The 18,268-nt window shown below is 37.9% G+C and overlaps 1 annotated feature.

Moving 5' to 3' along the window:
- Positions 413-1,035: an enhancer, noted in NCBI's record as "NANOG-H3K27ac-H3K4me1 hESC enhancer chrY:4822044-4822666 (GRCh37/hg19 assembly coordinates)". NCBI's record gives its function as "activates a minimal SCP1, AML or CMV promoter by ChIP-STARR-seq in primed H9 embryonic stem cells {active_cell/tissue: H9 hESC(primed)}" and the evidence as "EXISTENCE:reporter gene assay evidence [ECO:0000049][PMID:30033119]".

Consider the following 18,268-nt stretch of genomic DNA (forward strand, 5'->3'; position numbering starts at 1 on the left):
TTTCTTGGAGGCTTTGCTCATTTCTTTTTATTCTTTTTTCTCTAAACTTCCCTTCTCGCTTCATTTCATTCATTTCATCTTCCATTGCTGATACCCTTTCTTCCAGTTGATCGCATCGGCTCCTGAGGCTTCTGCATTCTTCACGTAGTTCTCGAGCCTTGGTTTTCAGCTCCATCAGCTCCTTTAAGCACTTCTCTGTATTGGTTATTCTAGTTATACATTCTTCTAAATTTTTTTCAAAGTTTTCAACTTCTTTGCCTTTGGTTTGAATGTCCTCCCGTAGCTCAGAGTAATTTGATCGTCTGAAGCCTGCTTCTCTCAGCTCGTCAAAATCATTCTCCATCCAGCTTTGTTCTGTTGCTGGTGAGGAACTGCGTTCCTTTGGAGGAGGAGAGGCGCTCTGCGTTTTAGAGTTTCCAGTTTTTCTGTTCTGTTTTTTCCCCATCTTTGTGGTTTTATCTACTTTTGGTCTTTGATGATGGTGATGTACAGATGGGTTTTCGGTGTAGATGTCCTTTCTGGTTGTTAGTTTTCCTTCTAACAGACAGGACCCTCAGCTGCAGGTCTGTTGGAATACCCTGCCGTGTGAGGTGTCAGTGTGCCCCTGCTGGGGGATGCCTCCCAGTTAGGCTGCTCGGGGGTCAGGAGTCAGGGACCCACTTGAGGAGGCAGTCTGCCTGTTCTCAGATCTCCAGCTGCGTGCTGGGAGAACCACTGCTCTCTTCAAAGCTGTCAGACAGGGACACTTAAGTCTGCAGAGGTTACTGCTGTCTTTTTGTTTGTCTGTGCCCTGCCCCCAGAGGTGGAGCCTACAGAGGCAGGCAGGCCTCCTTGAGCTGTGGTGGGCTCCACCCAGTTGGAGCTTCCCGGCTGCTTTGTTTACCTAAGCAAGCCTGGGCAATGGCGGGCGCCCCTCCCCCAGCCTCGCTGCCGCCTTGCAGTTTGATCTCAGACTGCTGTGCTAGCAATCAGCGAGATTCCGTGGGCGTAGGACCCTCTGAGCCAGGTGTGGGATATAGTCTCGTGGTGCGCCGTTTCTTAAGCCGGTCTGAAAAGCGCAATATTCGGGTGGGAGTGACCCGATTTTCCAGGTGCGTCCGTCACCCCTTTCTTTGACTCGGAAAGGGAACTCCCTGACCCCTTGCGCTTCCCAGGTGAGGCAATGCCTCGCCCTGCTTCGGCTCGCGCACGGTGTGCACACACACTGGCCTGCGCCCACTGTCTGGCACTCCCTAGTGAGATGAACCCGGTACCTCAGATGGAAATGCAGAAATCACCCGTCTTCTGCGTCGCTCACCCTGGGAGCTGTAGACTGGAGCTGTTCCTATTCGGCCATCTTGGCTCCTCCCCCTCTAAAATATTTTAAGAGATTTATTCTGAGCCAAATTATGACTGACCAATGGCCTGTAACACAGGCCTCAGGAGACTGTAAGAACATGTGCCCAAGGTGGTTAGGCCACAACTTTGTTTTATGCATTTTATGGAGACATAAGGCATCAGTTAATGCATATATGATGTCCACTGGTTCAGTCCAGAAAGCAGAACAACTGGGAAGCAGGGGCTTCCAAGTCATGGGAGGATTCAAAGATTTTCTGATTGTGAATTGGTTGAAACAGTTATTACCAATAGAAAGGAATGTCTGGGTTGTGATAAGTGGTTGTGGAGACCAAGGTTTTGTCATGCAGATGAAGCCTCCAGGTAGCCGGCCTCAGAGAGAAGAGATTGTAAATGTTTCTTATCAGACGTAAAGAATCTGTTCTACCAGTAATTCCAAAAGGAAGAAGGGTGTAATTAAGCATGTCCAGCTCCCACTTCCCATCATGGCCTGACACTAGTTTTTCAGGCTAACTTTGGAATGCCCTTAGCTGACAGTAAGAGTTTATTTAGATGGTGAAGGGGCTTAGAATTTTATTTTTGTTTTACAGGAGATAGTATGGAATGGTAAAGAGGACATGATTAGGTATACAAAGATTTAATTCAGTCAGGCTGTAAGAAAAGCTGTAAGAAGTATCTACCAATCTTTTCTACTCTTCTTTCCACAGAAAACTCCCTTCTCATTTGTATGAGAGATAACACCCACTCCACTCACTCCTCACAACTCCCTATTCTTAACAAATTAACTCACATGCAGATCTTATCAAATATTTAATGGAGAGGTATTTCAGGCTTAAAATAAAATATTTCCCCTAAGCATTTGCCTCATTTATTTATTTTGTATTTGTTGACCCATATGTATTGAGAGCATTTTTCTTTCAGGCACTGTGTCAGCTATCATGAAAACAAGTAAATTTGTCTTATGCTACAACTAAAGTGTAGACAGGGATCAGTAGGAGAATGGGGCAAAGCCTAATTACCTAGAGGAGTCAGGAAGGTATTCCCAGATAAAATGAAATTTAAGTTGTGTCTCCTGAACCAAGGAAATCCATTAGGACCTAAAGCATTCTAAAATTTCCTTAACATATTCACAATACAGAAAGTTGAGGATGGAGACATTTTTGTGTGTGGCAGAAAGTATTTGAAGACAAGGGAAGAGTAATAGCATCCCTCAAATAATAGCACAAATGTGGCCTTATATTCTGCATACTTGAAAGATGCCCCTTTCTTACGTTATTTTAGGACGCATCTTCAGGAGGCCTGCACAACAGAGTACACTGTTTTCTGGCTCTGTTCCTTACCTCTCAGATAATTTAAATGGCACAGAGTCAAATGAAACAAGAGAAAAATGCCAATATATATGGATGTGTTAAACCGTGAGAAGATATAACATAGCTATTTGAGTTGACAGAAAAGCATCAGATAAGTTTCAAGAAAAGTTTAAAGATAGATGAAAGTAAGGCAACTCAGTTCAGAAAAATATAACCTAAACTATTATATCTATGCTGTCATTTAAGGCCTAGGAACAGGACTCAGGTCACTGTTGACTGTGAATTACTCCAGAAAATGATGAAAACAAAGGACTTTACTTACTGTGGAATTCTCATAGAATACAGTGGGGTTCAGTTACACCTAAACCACACTAAATTTGGCAACTTCTGTTGGATAACTAAAAACAGAAAAGGAAAAAGCTAAAAGAAAGGCATATCGAGGAATTCAAAGGATGCTAGATTATTTTTCTATATGAATTCAAACTTCATAAAAGACTAAGAACAAAACAGGATTAAAGCGTACTCTTTGACCTTTGAAAGAGATATGATGGTTATGATGAAAATGAAGATGACATCTCCAATTTAGTGAGTGTCAGACACTTGGTTGTTCAGTTTACATATAACATATATTATCTTCCTTTGGCCTTGCCACATGAAGCAGATATAGTTTATAAATAGTAGAAATGCATTGTATAACCAGTGACAACTACGTAAATATGAACCTCCTCTGTTGTATGGTAAATACAAAATATAATAAAAGGTATTCTGTTTCTAACTAAATACCATATTTTTAATGCCTTTATAAGATCTGATTTCAGGAACTGCATGTAAATTTATTAGTATTTTAAATTAAAAATAAATTCACTAATATAAGTGTAAAGAAATCAAGTGAGTTTAAATGTCTTAGATAAAATACATCTTTAATTTTTACTTCAGTATAGCTAATAAACAAATCCAGACATGGCTCTTGTCAGATAGCTTTTTTCCTATTTGATTTTCCTTCCCTTGTACTTCCTGCACAGCTTTAACATGGCTCCCACAGCCATGCTTTTTCACAATGATACGAAGTGTTGAAATTATCTCTTCTTTTTCAGTACACAAAAATATCATTCTACTGTACAACTTACCACCAAACCCTTATTCCCTGCAAGTTTACACTCAGGATAATCAGCTACTGTCTGAAGTCTCAAATTCTAGTGAAATGAAACATTTTTGTATTATACACATGCACTTATAATATATTCATTAACATGAATGTGCATTATGATATAGGACATGGGAAATAAGGCATTTACTTGAGGAACTGCAAATATTTTACATTTGTTCAACAAACACGTTGAGAATTTACAATGTGCAAAGTATTGTGGAAGTCTTTCTTCTTTCCTCTTCCCCCAGTAAAAATGTCCAGCTGTCTCGGCAGGAAAAGAGATTGAGAAGTATAATGAAAGCATACTCTCTGGTCCTTGTCATTACAGCACTTATCCATGAAGTTGCATGCTAGAAACAGGGAGTCAGTCTTTGTGAAAATTTTGGTCACCATCGCAGCTTTAGACTAGGCTGAAATAAAGAAAGAGTGTATAGGGTCTAGTCTCTTATCCAAAGCCAAGAAAATAGTTATTTCAAGTTTTTATTTTTAATAAGTGAAAGCATTTATTTCTGTATCAAACTACATATATGTTTTATTAATAGAGAGTTTAATAGAATCATGGGTCTGGATAGCACATATTAGAAGACTTGAATTTTAGTACAGTCATAATAAGTAATTAATTTATAATAAGAGAGGGAAAAAAAGAACTTCAACCCCAATGCCACAAATAAAATAAAAATTTTAAAAAAATTATGAATGCATAGTATAAAATCATGTAGTATATTTACTTAATTGAATACATATCAAAAATTGTTGCCTGTAAAGATTTTATGCATACATAATTTCACATAATTATATATATTTATATCATTGTATTATAAATACAAAAATATTCATATAATTATAATTACATATAATTTTTAGAACTAGCTTCCTCTAAACAATAATTGAATTCAGAATAATATAAATCATGTTAAAGAAATATAACATAAATAATTAAAATTATAAGACAGCAGTTCAAAAGTTCAAATACCTATTATATATATATATATATATATATATATATATATATATATATATACACACACATGCCTTAGGAGATAAAATTATTTTATTCTTCAATGAAATATTCATTGTTCTTCAATGAAATATTCATTATTCTTCAATGAAATAATTCAACCGATAAGTTTAAATCATTGTTAATTAAGACAATATTATATACTTGAAATTTATATTAATTTTAAGTGTTCAGTTCTAGTTTTATTGTTCATACACTGAGCCCTCTTACACACTACCTCAGAAGATGAATATGAGAGCATGATTGCAAATTTCTTTGAAATTTCTCCCCAGCAAAGACTGATTCAGAAAGCCACATGGGAGAAGCAAAGAAAAGCCAGAGAACACATTCTTTCCTGATCTCTTATATTTGTTCAGAAATACGAAACAACATAAATTGAATTCCAGTTATAGGTAAAAATGGGGCCATTTCTAGAAAGATGTCTGTGATGGCTCAGACTAGCTCCAATTATATTGCCTTTCTCATTCAAAAAAATTGATCTCCTATTGGCTGCAGAGAATAATTTGTCTTTTTTATCTGTGATCAAATGAAGATTCATACCTGGTTTCACCGGGAAGTTTAGGATATTGTTGAAAAAAACACTCTTACAAGAACTAATTGCACATGACGCTGGAATTAGAATTAATATCTGCTGAGCATTTTACAATTCACAAAGCACATCTATATGTATTATCCTATTTGGTCTCCTAGCAAACCTGTGAGGAAATATTATTCCCATTTTACAAATAAGGCTCAGAATCTCTGCCTCTTATGGCTGAAACTTTTTTTTTCTACAACAATTTGACTTACCATATGAGAGATGCCAAATAATAGTTGCAATGCCATATATTGCACATGAAATGTATATTTTTAGAGAATCTATGAAACATCCAAATGCTGCTACTATTTTTGATAGCATCTTTCATTTAAAACTCTAATTGTTGACTTCTAATATGAACTGAATTACCCTTTAAGGCAATCACTGCAAATAGAAAGTTCTTCATATACAGTATTTTCCCAAATTCTTCGTTAAAATCAAAGTACCTTGCAATGAGTTTTACCCTGAGGTTCCAATATTTTAACAATGAAAAGTCTTTTATTAGTCTGGCATAGAAAAACATCGAATACATCTGCTTAGGAGGAATGAGAAGTTCTTCCTGTAAGATGAAGGTACTAACTCAAGAAGGGAACTTTGGGAACTCCAAAGCTTGTTCAGTTCCTACTTTATTTTTATCATAAAAATGTGGCATCTTTCCTACTGCTACTATCTAGGTTAGTAGTCAAGGCCTATGTTTTACAATAAATTATTTTAAGCCATGTTTCATATCCCTTCCTTTGCCTCAGCCACAGAATTCCGAAAAAGCAAAAGTAGAATAATCTCTCTTAGGAGGCTTCTCATTGTACAACTGCAGTATATCCAATACTGACATTTGGGTTATAAGAATTCTCCTCAGTCTACCAATCCTAAATATACCCTAGTTTAACATACTCATTATGTCCCTTGCCAAAAAGCAGTTAGAGAGAGATTGAGAGAGATGGACTATGATATTTAAGTATATCACATGCCTTTAAGCTTTTGTATACAATCAAAAACAACTTTAAATTAGAAAAAGCTTATTATGTCATCATCCTCTCATTTTAACTACCAAGAAATAACTGTGCAATGACCACTGTGAACATGGTCCCATTATATATGTGATGGGGTTTTCAAAAGCCTGTTTATAGACAGTAGTGGCTTTCAAAGAATTTTTTTTCTTTCTTTTTTTGAGACAGAGTTTTGCTCTGTCACTCAGGCTGGAGTGCAGTTGTGCGATCTTGGCTCACTGCAACCTCTGCCTCCCAGGTTCAAGCGAATCTCCTGCCTCAGCCTCCTGAGTAGCTGAGATTACAGGTGACTGCCACTACGCCTGGTTAATTTCTGTATTTTTAGGAGATACGGGGTTTCACCATGTTGGCCAGGCTGATCTCGAACTCTTGACCTCAGGTGATCTGCCCACCTCGGCCTCCACCTGGCAACCTTCACAGAATTTCTAATGACAGTACAAATACATTCACACTGTGTCACTAAAGGGAATGAGAATAAAGACTACCATTAATATTTCCTACAAAGGTTACAAATGGTCAGTCATTGTCAGTCACTTACTTAAGCAACACTTAAGTTTCAAGCCTCTCCACTGAAATAGTCTACCCAAATTAGAAGGTACCAGAAAAGTAATCCAGGCAATATGACAAAACAGGGTTCTATAACACACCCAAAAGATCACAACAGCTTGCCAGCAATGTATCCAAACCAAGAAGAAATTTTTGAATTGCCAGATAAACAATTCAGAAGGTGGGTTATTAAGCTATTCAAGGAGATACCAGAGAAAGGTGAAAATCAACTTAAAGAAATTAAAAAACAATGGAGGATATAGATGAAAACTTCTCAAGAGAAATATATATCACAAAGAAGATACAATAACAATTTCTGGAAATGAAAGACACACTTAGAGAAATACAAAATGCAGTTGAAAGTTCCAACAATACACTAAAACAAGCAGAAGAAAGAACTTCAGAGCTCAAAGACAAGGCTTTCAAATTAACCCAATGAGACAAAGACAAAGAAAAAAGAATTTAAAAAAATAAACAAAGCCTCCAAGAAATTTGGGATTATGTTAAATGACCAAATGTAAAAATAATTGGTGCTCCTGAGGAAGAAGAGAAATCTGAAGTCTGGAAAACTTATTTGAGGGAATAATTGAAGAAAGCTTCCCAGACCTTGCTAGAGATCTAGACGTTCAAATGCAAGAAGCTCAAAGAACACCTTGGAAATTCATCACAAAAAGATCCATGTATTCTTCAGGTTATCGAAAGTCAAAACAAAGGAAAGAATCTTAAGAACTGTGAGACAAAAGCATCAGATAACCTATTATTCTGTGTTCTAATATTCTGTGTTTTTCTGTGTACTTATTACCACTGAGTTTTACACCTTCAGGAGATTACTTATTGCACATTAATGTCCTTTTCTTTCTTTCTTTTTTATTTTATTTTATTATTATTTTTTTGACACAGAGTCTCATTCTGTTGCCCAGGCTGGAGTGCAGTGGCACAATCTTGGCTCACTGCAGCCTCCACCTCCTGGGTTCAAGTGATTTTCCTGCCTCAGCCTCCCGGGTAGGTGGGATTACAGGCATGCACCACCGTGCTTGGCTAATTTTTTGTATTTTTAGTAGAGATGGGGTTTCACCATGTGGACCAATCTTGGCCTCCCAATGTCCTGGGATTACAGGTATAAGCCTCTGTGTCTGGCCAGTGTCTTTTTCTTTCTGATTGTAATATTCCCTTTACCATTTCTTGTAGTTCAGGTCTAGTGTTGATGAAATCCCTCAGCTTTTGTTTATCTGGTAAAATCTTTATTTCTTCTTCTTATGAGTTTGAAGGATATTATTGCCAGACATACGGTTCTAGGGTACATTTTTTTTCATTCAGCACTTTAAATATGTCGTGCCACTGTCTCCTGACCTGTAAGGTTTCCACTGAAAAGTCTGCTGCCAGATGTATTGGGGCTCCATTGTGTTTGTTTCTTGTCTCTTGCTCCTTATAGGACTGTTTCCTAATTTTTGACCTTTGGGAGTGTGTTATTAAATGCCTTGAGGTTGTCTTCTTTGGGTTAAATCTGCTTTGTGTTCTGTAATGTTCCTGTGCTTGGATACTGATATCTTTCTCCAGGTGTAGGAAGTTTTCTGTTATTATCCCTTCGAATAAACTTTCTACCCCTGTTTCTTTACCTCCTCTTTAATGCTAGTAACTCTTAGATTTGCCCTTTGAGGTTATTTTCTAGATCCCGTAGGCATTCTTCATTTTTTAAATTCTTTTTTCATTTGTGTGTTCTGAGCCTATCTTCAAGCTCACTAATTCTTTATTCTGCTTTATCGATTCTGCTATTAAAATATATTGATACATTCTTCAGTATGCCAATTGCATTTTTCAGCAACAGAATTTATATTTGAGCCTTTTTTTTTTTTTGTGGGGGGAGACAGAGTCTCGCTCTGTCGCCCAGGCTGGAGTGTAGTGGCGTGATCTCAGCTCACTGCAAGCTCCACCTCCTGGGTTCACACCATTCTCCTGCCTCAGCCTCCCAAGTAGCTGGGACTACAGGTGCCTGCTACCATACCCAGCTAATTTTTTGTATTTTTAGTAGAGACGGGGTTTCACCGTGTTAGCCAGGATGGTCTCATCTCCCGACCTCATGACCCGCCCTCCTCGGCCTCCCAAAGTGCTGGGATTACAGGCGTGAATATTAGAGCCTTTTTAATTATTTTGATATCTTGGTTAAATTCATCTGATAGAATTCTGAATTCCTTCTCTGTGTTATCTTGAATTTCTTTGAGTTTCCTCAACACAGCTCTTTTGAATTCTCTGCCTGAAGCATCACAAATCTCTGTTTCTCTAAGATTGATTCCTGTTGCCTTACTTAGTTCGTTTAATGAGGTAATGCTTTCCCAGATGGTGTTTATGCCAGTAGATGTTCTTTGGTGTCTGGGCATTGAAGAGTTCTGTATTTATGATAGTTTTCACTGTCTGAGCTTATTTGTAGCCATCTTCCTTGGGAAGGCTTTCCAAATGTTTGAGTGATTGGGTGTTGTGATCTAACCTTTGTCCCCTTTAGGGGGCACCCAAAGTCCAGTAACATTATGATTCTTCCGGACTCATAGAGGTACTGCCTTGATGGTCTTGGACAAGATCTAGGAGAATTTTCTGGATTACCAGGCAGAGACTCTTATTCTCTTCCCTTACTTTCTGCCAAACAAAGAGTCTTTCTGTCTGTTCTGAGCCACCTAAAGCTGAAGGTGGAGTGACACAAGAACCCCTGTTGACACCATTGCTATGACTGTGCTGGGTCAGACCTGAAGCCAGAACAGTGCTGGGTCTCACTGAAGGCTTGCTGGAACCACTCTCTAGCTACTGCCTATGTTCACTCAAGACCCCAGGGCTTTACAATCAGCCAATGGCAAAGCCAGCCAGGCCTGTGTTTTTCCCTTCAGGGTGTCAAGATTCCCCAGGTCCCACATGGGTCCAGATGTGCTGTCCAGGGGTCAGGGACTATAGTCAAAAGCCTTAGAAGTCTACCTGGTGTTCTACTGTATTGCATCTGAGCTGGCACTCAAATCACAGTTCTTCCCACTCTTCCCTCTCCTTTCCAAAGGCAGAGGAGTCTCACCCTGTAACCACTGCCACCTCAGGCCGTGAAGTGTACTGCCAGACTTCCAACCAATGTTCCCTTAAGTCCCAAAGGCTCTTAAGTCATCTTGTGATAAATGCTGTCTGGCCTGGGACTCTCCTTTCAGAGAAGTGGGCTCCTTTCTGACCCAGGTTAAGGCCATAAATGCTATCTAAGAGTCATGTCCTGGAATTGGGAACTCCCAAAGCCCGCTTGGTGCTCTGCTCCTCTGTGGCCATGCTGTTACCTAAGGTGCCAGATAAAGTCCCCTTTCCTTTTCCCTCTTCTTTTCTCAAGAAGGAGTTTTGCCCCATAGATACCACAGCTGATATTGTTCTGAGTCTCACCTGAAGCCAGAAAGCCTCAGAGGTTCACCCAAGACCTTTGATGTAGTTCCTTGGTATCACTGCTGGTTACTCAGTGCCCAAGGGCTCTCCAGTTGGCAGGTGATGAATGTTATTAGGAATGGGTCTTTTCCTTCAAGGAAGCAGGTTCTTTTCTGGCCCAGGGTGTGCCTAGAAATGTTATCTGGGAACTACGGCCTGAACAGAGCCCTCACAACTCTGTCTTGTGCCCTATCCTGCTTTGTTTGAGCTGGTATCCAAGACGCAAAACAGAGTCCTCCCCGCTCTTCCCTCTCCTCTCCTCAAGCAGAAGGAAGGGATCTCTTTTGGAGCCAAAAGTTGTGTAGCCTGGGGTTAGAAAAGAGGTGATGCCAGCATGCCCTTGACCCTGCCACAGCTGGTGTATCAGTAGGTCATGTGCCTACCCAGTCCACTGTCTCTGGGCCCAGTTCAGCCCTAAGACTTGCCTAAGAGTTGCAGTCCTTATGGCCTAGACTGCCTTTCAAGTTTACTTGGAGATAGAGAGTGCTGCAGCCCATGGTGGTAAGGTTTGTGGGAACTCAAGTTTGGGTCCTTAAGCTGGGATGGGTGATTCTCCTCTGGCTAGGGCTACTTTAAATTCATTCTCCAAGGGCAGGCATCAGCTGAGTTTGGTCTGTTTTTCCTTTCTGCTCTAACAGGACGGCACTGAGTTCAAGCCTCACAATTGCTGTATTCTCCCTCCCTTAGTGCCCAGAAAAGCTCTCCACACCATGCAGCTGCTGCTGCTGCCAGTGGTGGGAGGTTAGGTGGTATTGGTGATTCAGTACTTTTTTTTTTTTTTATCTCTTCAGTGCCTCTTTCAGAAATATGAAGTTAAAACTAGTGCTATGAGCGCTTACTTGGTTTTTGGTTGTCATGAAGGTGCTTTTTCTGTGTAGATGCTTGCTAACTGGGTGTTTGTTGGGAGTGGGAGATGATCAATGGAGCCTTCTATTCCACCATCTTTCTCTGTCTTCTCTATTCTGTGAGAGTTTAAATGTCACATCTGTTTTTGACATTCAAATATCTGTAATTTTATTTTGCTTTGTAAACACGTGGTCACAAACCAGACAAATAAAGATTAAAGCTATAATTATTTAAAACCTTTTAGACTGGACTTCTAACTTCTGTTATAAATCTATCACCTAAAGCGTCTTTGTTACCCAATGTATGCCTTGAAGACCAGCAGCATCAAAATTGCCTGTGAATATCAGAGAAATGAAAAGTCTCAGTCTCCTCCCATATGAACAGTATCATAATCTGTATTTTAACAAGGTACCAAGTGATTTACGTGCCCACAAAAGTTTCATGTAACAGAAAGAACAACAAACTGGGATTTAAGCCTAGCTCTGCTCCTTTGGCTTTCCTGTCTGTTTCTCCACCTATAAAGAGCAATAATTCTGAAATGACTACCTCAGAGTTAATATACAAATGGTATTAGCATTTATGTGAAAGTATTATGAAATTGAAGACATTAAGATAGCTTAAAACAATATGGTTGTTGATCTTCTTAGGAAAAGATTCAAGGGTGGAAATGTAAAAGGGGAAAACAGATGAGAAGGTGAGTAATGCAATGAATGCTTACCAAAGAAGTTATCCTGGATTATCCCAGTGGGCCCTAAATCCAATGACAAGTGTTCTTATGAGAACAAGGCAGAGGGATATTAGGCCTAAGAGGAAAAGGCAATTTGACCAAGGAGGCAATGATCGCTGTGATGCAGCCATGAATAAAAGAAAGGCTATCACCCTCAGAAGCTGGAGAAAGCAACAAATGAATTCTCCTTGAGAGGCTTCTGAGGAAGCACAACCCTGATGACACCTTAATTTTGGACTTCTGGCATCCAAAACTGAGAGAAAAATAAATATCTTTTGTTTTAAGCCACTAAGTTTGTGAGAATTTGTTACAGCGGCCCATAAAGGTGGGGAAAAAGGAAGAAAGGCATCTATGTCAAAGAAGAAAGCATGAACTCACATTCTGTGCACTTTGCAAACAAATGGTAGCTCTTTGTCCAATAGAAAACAATAATGCTGAAGATAATAATAGGAACAACTAATAATAATAATGAGCTTAACACACTTTAAAGTATTTTTAAAGCTTTTAAATGATTTGAAGATGCAGAATCTCAATCATTTTCTCTTTGTATATGTCAGTAAATTGACACTGAAGCTAGTTACCTCTACCCAATCCAAAAATTCTGTAGATAGTTAACTGGGGGGAGGGGAAAGCCAAACAATGCCAGACAATGCTTAGTAACATATTAAAAAAAAAAAAAAAAAAAAAAACAAAGCTAGCCACACAAACACAAGTAAACTAACCAACGTGTCTCGGTGTATTAGTTTCCTAGGGCTGCCATTCTCAAGTTATTTTATACGCTTGCATTTTACTGTGCTTTCTCTGTATTTCCTTTGCTAATGAATTCTCTCTTCCTTTCATCCCACTTGCCCCCTCCTAACTCCTATTCATGCTTTATTTATCAGCCTAAATAAAATCTCTTCTAGGAAGCCTTCCTTGAGCCATTGATCTCTCATCTACCACCCTAACCAATCCCACCTCCCAGTCACTCGCCCACTAACGTACATAAACACACAGAGTAGGATGCTTTTATGCTGTGGACACACTGCATTCATCACAGCATATTAATAACTCGGTAGAATGTGAACACACTGCATTCCTGACAGCATATTATTAATAAATCTGTAGAGTGCATGTTTACTTGCCTTCTTCCCTCTATGGACTTTATCCCCATCATGAGTAGAACATAGCAGGGGTGAAAAAGGTATTTTAAGATAAATGAATGCATGAATAACCTTTAAAAATACCAACTACCACTTATAAAGTGTTTTCTGTCTGCCAGACACTGTTCTAAGTGCTTTATGTGTATTAATGTATATCCTTATAAATGACCTATGTTACATACTATCGATGTTCCCATTTTATAGATCAATAAACTGAGGCAAAAAAAAACTTAGAGCAAAGTAACATAGGAAGTAAACGGTAGAACCAAGTATTTGCATCCATGCATTCCCACTGCAGACTCCAGGTTCTTAACCATTATTTTAAAAACATAATAGCTAACACAGAATTTATCACACACCAGACATTCTTTTAACTCATCTACATATGTTGATACATTTAATCTCAACACATTCATTCAACAAGCGAATGATACGGGCATAACTAGCACCAATAGTGCCTGCATGTCTAAAACTTGGGGGCATGAAACCTGTTTCCGCCAGAGAACTATTTGTTGTTTAACTAATAAAAGGCAATGCTATCAATTCACATTTGTGAATCAATTGTATTCAAAGCACTTACACACATAAGGTAACCTCTTTTTTCTCTGGGGCACAATAATTTAAAATAATAACATTAGCAACATTACTTTCCAGTTTTATTTTACATTTTAAATCTTATGTTGTGTGAAGTTGTGCCCAATTTCAGCCTGCCACAGGATTCCAAGGTAACAACTTGCAAAGCAGCCCTTTAATCACTAGAATTAGTATTTCAGTGGATTTTTGTATGGCAGGTATAGCATGAGTAATGACCCTGTATAACTCAGTAAGATATGATGATGAAAACTTAGGAGCTTCATGTTGAAAGAGTCCCAACTGGAAGTTAAGAGAGCTAGCTTCAACCTCGGACACTAACTGGAAGACAACTTTCCCTGGACCTCAGTTTTTGCATCAGTGAAATTACACGGGGAATGAGCTCTTTATAACTCTAGATGCCTAATTCTGTAAAGCCACAAACTACTCATGAAATGTAATCTAATTATTTTATAATATCACTTCCAGCCAGCTTGGCAAAACTAATAAATTGTGGCTCTCTTTTCCTGGCTGGTGAGACATATAAGATAAAAACATGAGCATTATTTACCCAGGATCACAGGTTTGACTAGTAATGAGGACTCTGTCTCTAAAAATCATAGCATTGAATAGAAACTCCTTTGAGAATATCAATAGTATGCCATGTGTGAGCAGGAAATTACCATCGTGATACCAGTAGATAGCATGTTAACAGAGTATTAATTATGAAGCAGTGCTAACTGAATAATACATGGCAGTTATTAAGAGGAGATTTTCAAGGGTCGATATGCTATGACTCAACTGCCAGTCAGTAATGAGATAATACACTACAGAGCCCAGGTACAAAGAATTGCTGGTGCCAGTGATAAGGATGCGTGATAGCTATCTGGAACTAAAAATCATGGTCTATACATGGTATGAGCTAAGATTTATAAATCTTCCGGCAGAAAGAGCTATTCAAGCAGTTATAAACCACACATCTGGTAAGCTGTTTTTATGGATCTTGAGTGCAGAGCTAATGAGGCCAGGATAAAACCTCAGTAGGAAGTCATTTTATAAGATTGCCTCTTTCCTTTTCAGGCATTGTGTAGAATAATAGTAAATATCAAATTGCAACAGAATTACTAAATAAGTAAAGAATAGCTTAGCTACCTCTTGAGTGAAGGAGACAACAGAAAAAAAAAATAAAGAGACAAAAGAATCTGTTTTTAGAGCTTCTTACAAGAAAATATGGTTTTAATAAATGTTATTGAGTATGAAGAAGTCAGTCATGTCATAAATTCAGGAAGCATCAGATTTACCAAGCATTTATTTTTAGCTCTAGCAAGAGTAAAGAGAATTCATTAAAATATTACCATGGCAAAACATGAAGCTAAAAGTGATATCACAGTCACATGATTTATTTTCAACAAAAAAAAATTGCATTAACATTGACTTATAGTATTTCCTTGAAATATAAGACATCTCTCTCCTTTTAGTTAAAGGTCATTTAACCAGCAAGGCAATGGCCTTGTAAAAAAAATTCCTGATAATGCTATTAAGAAACTAACCTTCTAGCGTGGATGGAGGACAGGAACCAGGAATAGGAGTTCCAAGTTAACAGACATAAATAAACAAAAATATAAAAGATTCTGAAAAATATTTTAATTGTTATGTTTTCTTTATTAGGCTATTTTTTTTTTTCATGGTCTCAGTAGTCACTAAAGGCATTCACAGAGAGCATTCTTCTTGATAAAGGAAAATAAATTCAAATAAAAGACTGCACTAGATGTAGAACCCAAGTCTTTTCGAAATGAAAGGGGCCTTAAAGATCTTCCAGTAACTCCTGGAAAATTTTCCAAAGGAACAATTTTGTTTCTCAGAGCAGCCTACTCTCTAACATATTCCAGCTGTCCAGTTAGGTAAGCCAGTGCAATCAGGGAGAACACAGATGAACCAGATAAACAACAACAAAAAGATCACTTGGAAAAAAAAGGGTTACTGTCAAGTAATTCAAACTTTGTAATATGAAAGTGTCAGTGTGATAAAACTGCTGATAAAATAGCCTGCAGCCATTTTTCCAAAACAGAAAGATGGCACTAATATTGTTTTTCTTTTATTTTAAATTTCATTATTATAATACTTTAAGTTTTAGGGTACATGTGCACAACGTGCAGGTTTGTTACATATGTATACATGTGCCATGTTGGTGTGCTGCACCCATTAACTCGTCATTTAGCATTAAGTATATCTCCTAATGCTATCCCTCCCCGCTCCCCCCACCCCATAAGCAGACCAGCCATGCTTGTTTACTACAGGATTTCTACAGCCATCATTTAGAGAGGCATAGAAGCAGTATTTCTGAGCTACTGAACAGTAATACAATGCACAAATTTTACAGTGGATAAGCCAGCCTACAAAAGGGAAGAAATGTATTTCATGAAATCTCTCTCCTGTCGATGTATAACATCCACAGAAACAAAGATGGAGCAAGGTAGCCCACATACTAACCATGACTGAAAATGTACTCTTGTCCCTTGGAATAAGCTTTTAATTCCTATCTTTGCCCTTCACTCTTTTCTATGATGCTCTGTTCATTGTCCTGCTTCCACCTTCTTTTAGCATTCTTTTTTGCCCCAATAACAGAAAAAACAAAACTATGTAAAAGATAAAATGTCTTCAATTTCTTACTGTAATAATGTACCCAAACACTCTCTTCCTTCTCCCCACCAACATGCATATGCAAACACACACACAGAGAGAGAGAGGTTGAGAGAGAGAGAGAGAGAGAGACAGATCCACTGAGAATTATTTCTAGGACTGAATGTCCTAGAAGGCAGATGTATCTCTATGTTCTGTTTTGTTTAGCTATATGTGGTACTTACTACAGAGGTGTAACTACCATATGTATTTAAAAAGCAAATGGTAAATTAATTTTACAAATACAGCATAATTCCTGTGATCCAGAGCCACCCATTAAAGTTCAGATATGGAGAATAGAAACAACATTTAGCAAGAACCCTCCCTTATAAACACACATGTGACACCCAGTGATGTTGACATGAGCTGTGAATACACGTCTAAAAAGAAGATTTGGTTTACAGTAACCAATGCTACAGTTAATGAAAAGAGCATTTTTGTAGGATTGCAAAATTACACGTATCACACCTGTACATGGATTACCTGCCTCCAAAATAAACATCTTCATAAGAAGCAGGGTACATCTGAGTGGCTCTAGCATCTTAACTAAATTAAGACCAAAATGGCACCTTTACACAAGGACACAGTATTCTAAAACTCCAAATGAAAACCTTTCTTTAGGAAGTGGAAATCAGCTGCAATTAAGAGATGACACACTCAAAAATGGCATATGAGAACTGGCAGGTAAAAGGCTTTCCATGAAACAATTTGAGTGTACATTGAGTCTGTACAGTCAATCCCTTGTTATCCATATCAGTCAAAGGTGGTGATCACACAGAAAATTCATAATTGTGGATACTGAAAAACACAATATTTGGTTTTATATGTCTCAAGCTAGATTCAAATGGGAGAAAAATCTGGAATACATTTGTGAATCCACTGTGAAGAATCTGATTCTCTCTTTCTTGTAGTAATCAAATTGGAAAAGCCACTCAGCCTCCAAATTCTGCTTTCACTCTTTCCAAACCATATGGGAAATTATTACCCAGACTGATACAAAGTAGCCCTGGAAAGCCAAATATACAAACTTGCTTTTTTTTTTTTTTTTCTGGCAACTCTCTTATAGCAAAAAGCTAAATGCTTTATCCAAAAAGCACTTTATTTCAGGTTTCTCTCTGTCTGGCTAGAATGGGGAAAAGAAAGTTATTTATATAAGCTATTATAGTACATAATTACACAGGTAACAAAAGAAAAAAAAATCAATAAGATTTTGAAAGGAATACGTTCTTACCCTAAACCGAATGGAAACAAAAACAACATAGAAAGTATTAATTCAAAATCAGGCAGACCAACAAAAGTCATGGTTAAAAGAAACCACAGATTTATATAACCTAAACCCTTCATTTTATGGATGAAGAAATTAACAAGCAGTGAACTGAAATCTTTACTTCAGTTGTGGTCTGTGGGCCAAGCCTAAGCATCACCTGGGAGGTTATTAGAACTGCACAATTTCAGGCCTCACTTCAGACCCACAAAATTAGAATCTGCATTTTAACAAAATCTCCACCCCAGATAATTTCTATGTACGTTGAGGTTTAAGAAGTACTTGTTAAATTACTTCTCCAAGTTATCATTAATCATTTACCATGTATATATTACTCAATGGTAGTAGTCAAATGTGTCAAGAAACCTTTCTTTGAGTAAGAGTAATTCAAGCATACTTCCCTCTGTCACAGTGAACAAACTATTTCCATAAGCTAAATTAATTATTTTTGAATTCTGCATCACTTCTTCAGGCCTTTTACCCAAGTTATCAAATTACTATTTTAGTGCAAATAGGCATTGCCAGAGAATAATTTTGGCATTTAAAGAATCTAGTTTATTCCATGATAAATTCTACAATTCCTTATTTCCTTATGATCCCTGACTAGGAACCAGGTTATTCTGTATAGAATAAACTGGAACCGGGTCCTCGCTTATTCCATTTAT

Source organism: Homo sapiens, chromosome Y (genome assembly GCF_000001405.40).
Source record: "Homo sapiens chromosome Y, GRCh38.p14 Primary Assembly".
In the NCBI taxonomy this organism is placed as follows: domain Eukaryota; kingdom Metazoa; phylum Chordata; class Mammalia; order Primates; family Hominidae; genus Homo; species Homo sapiens.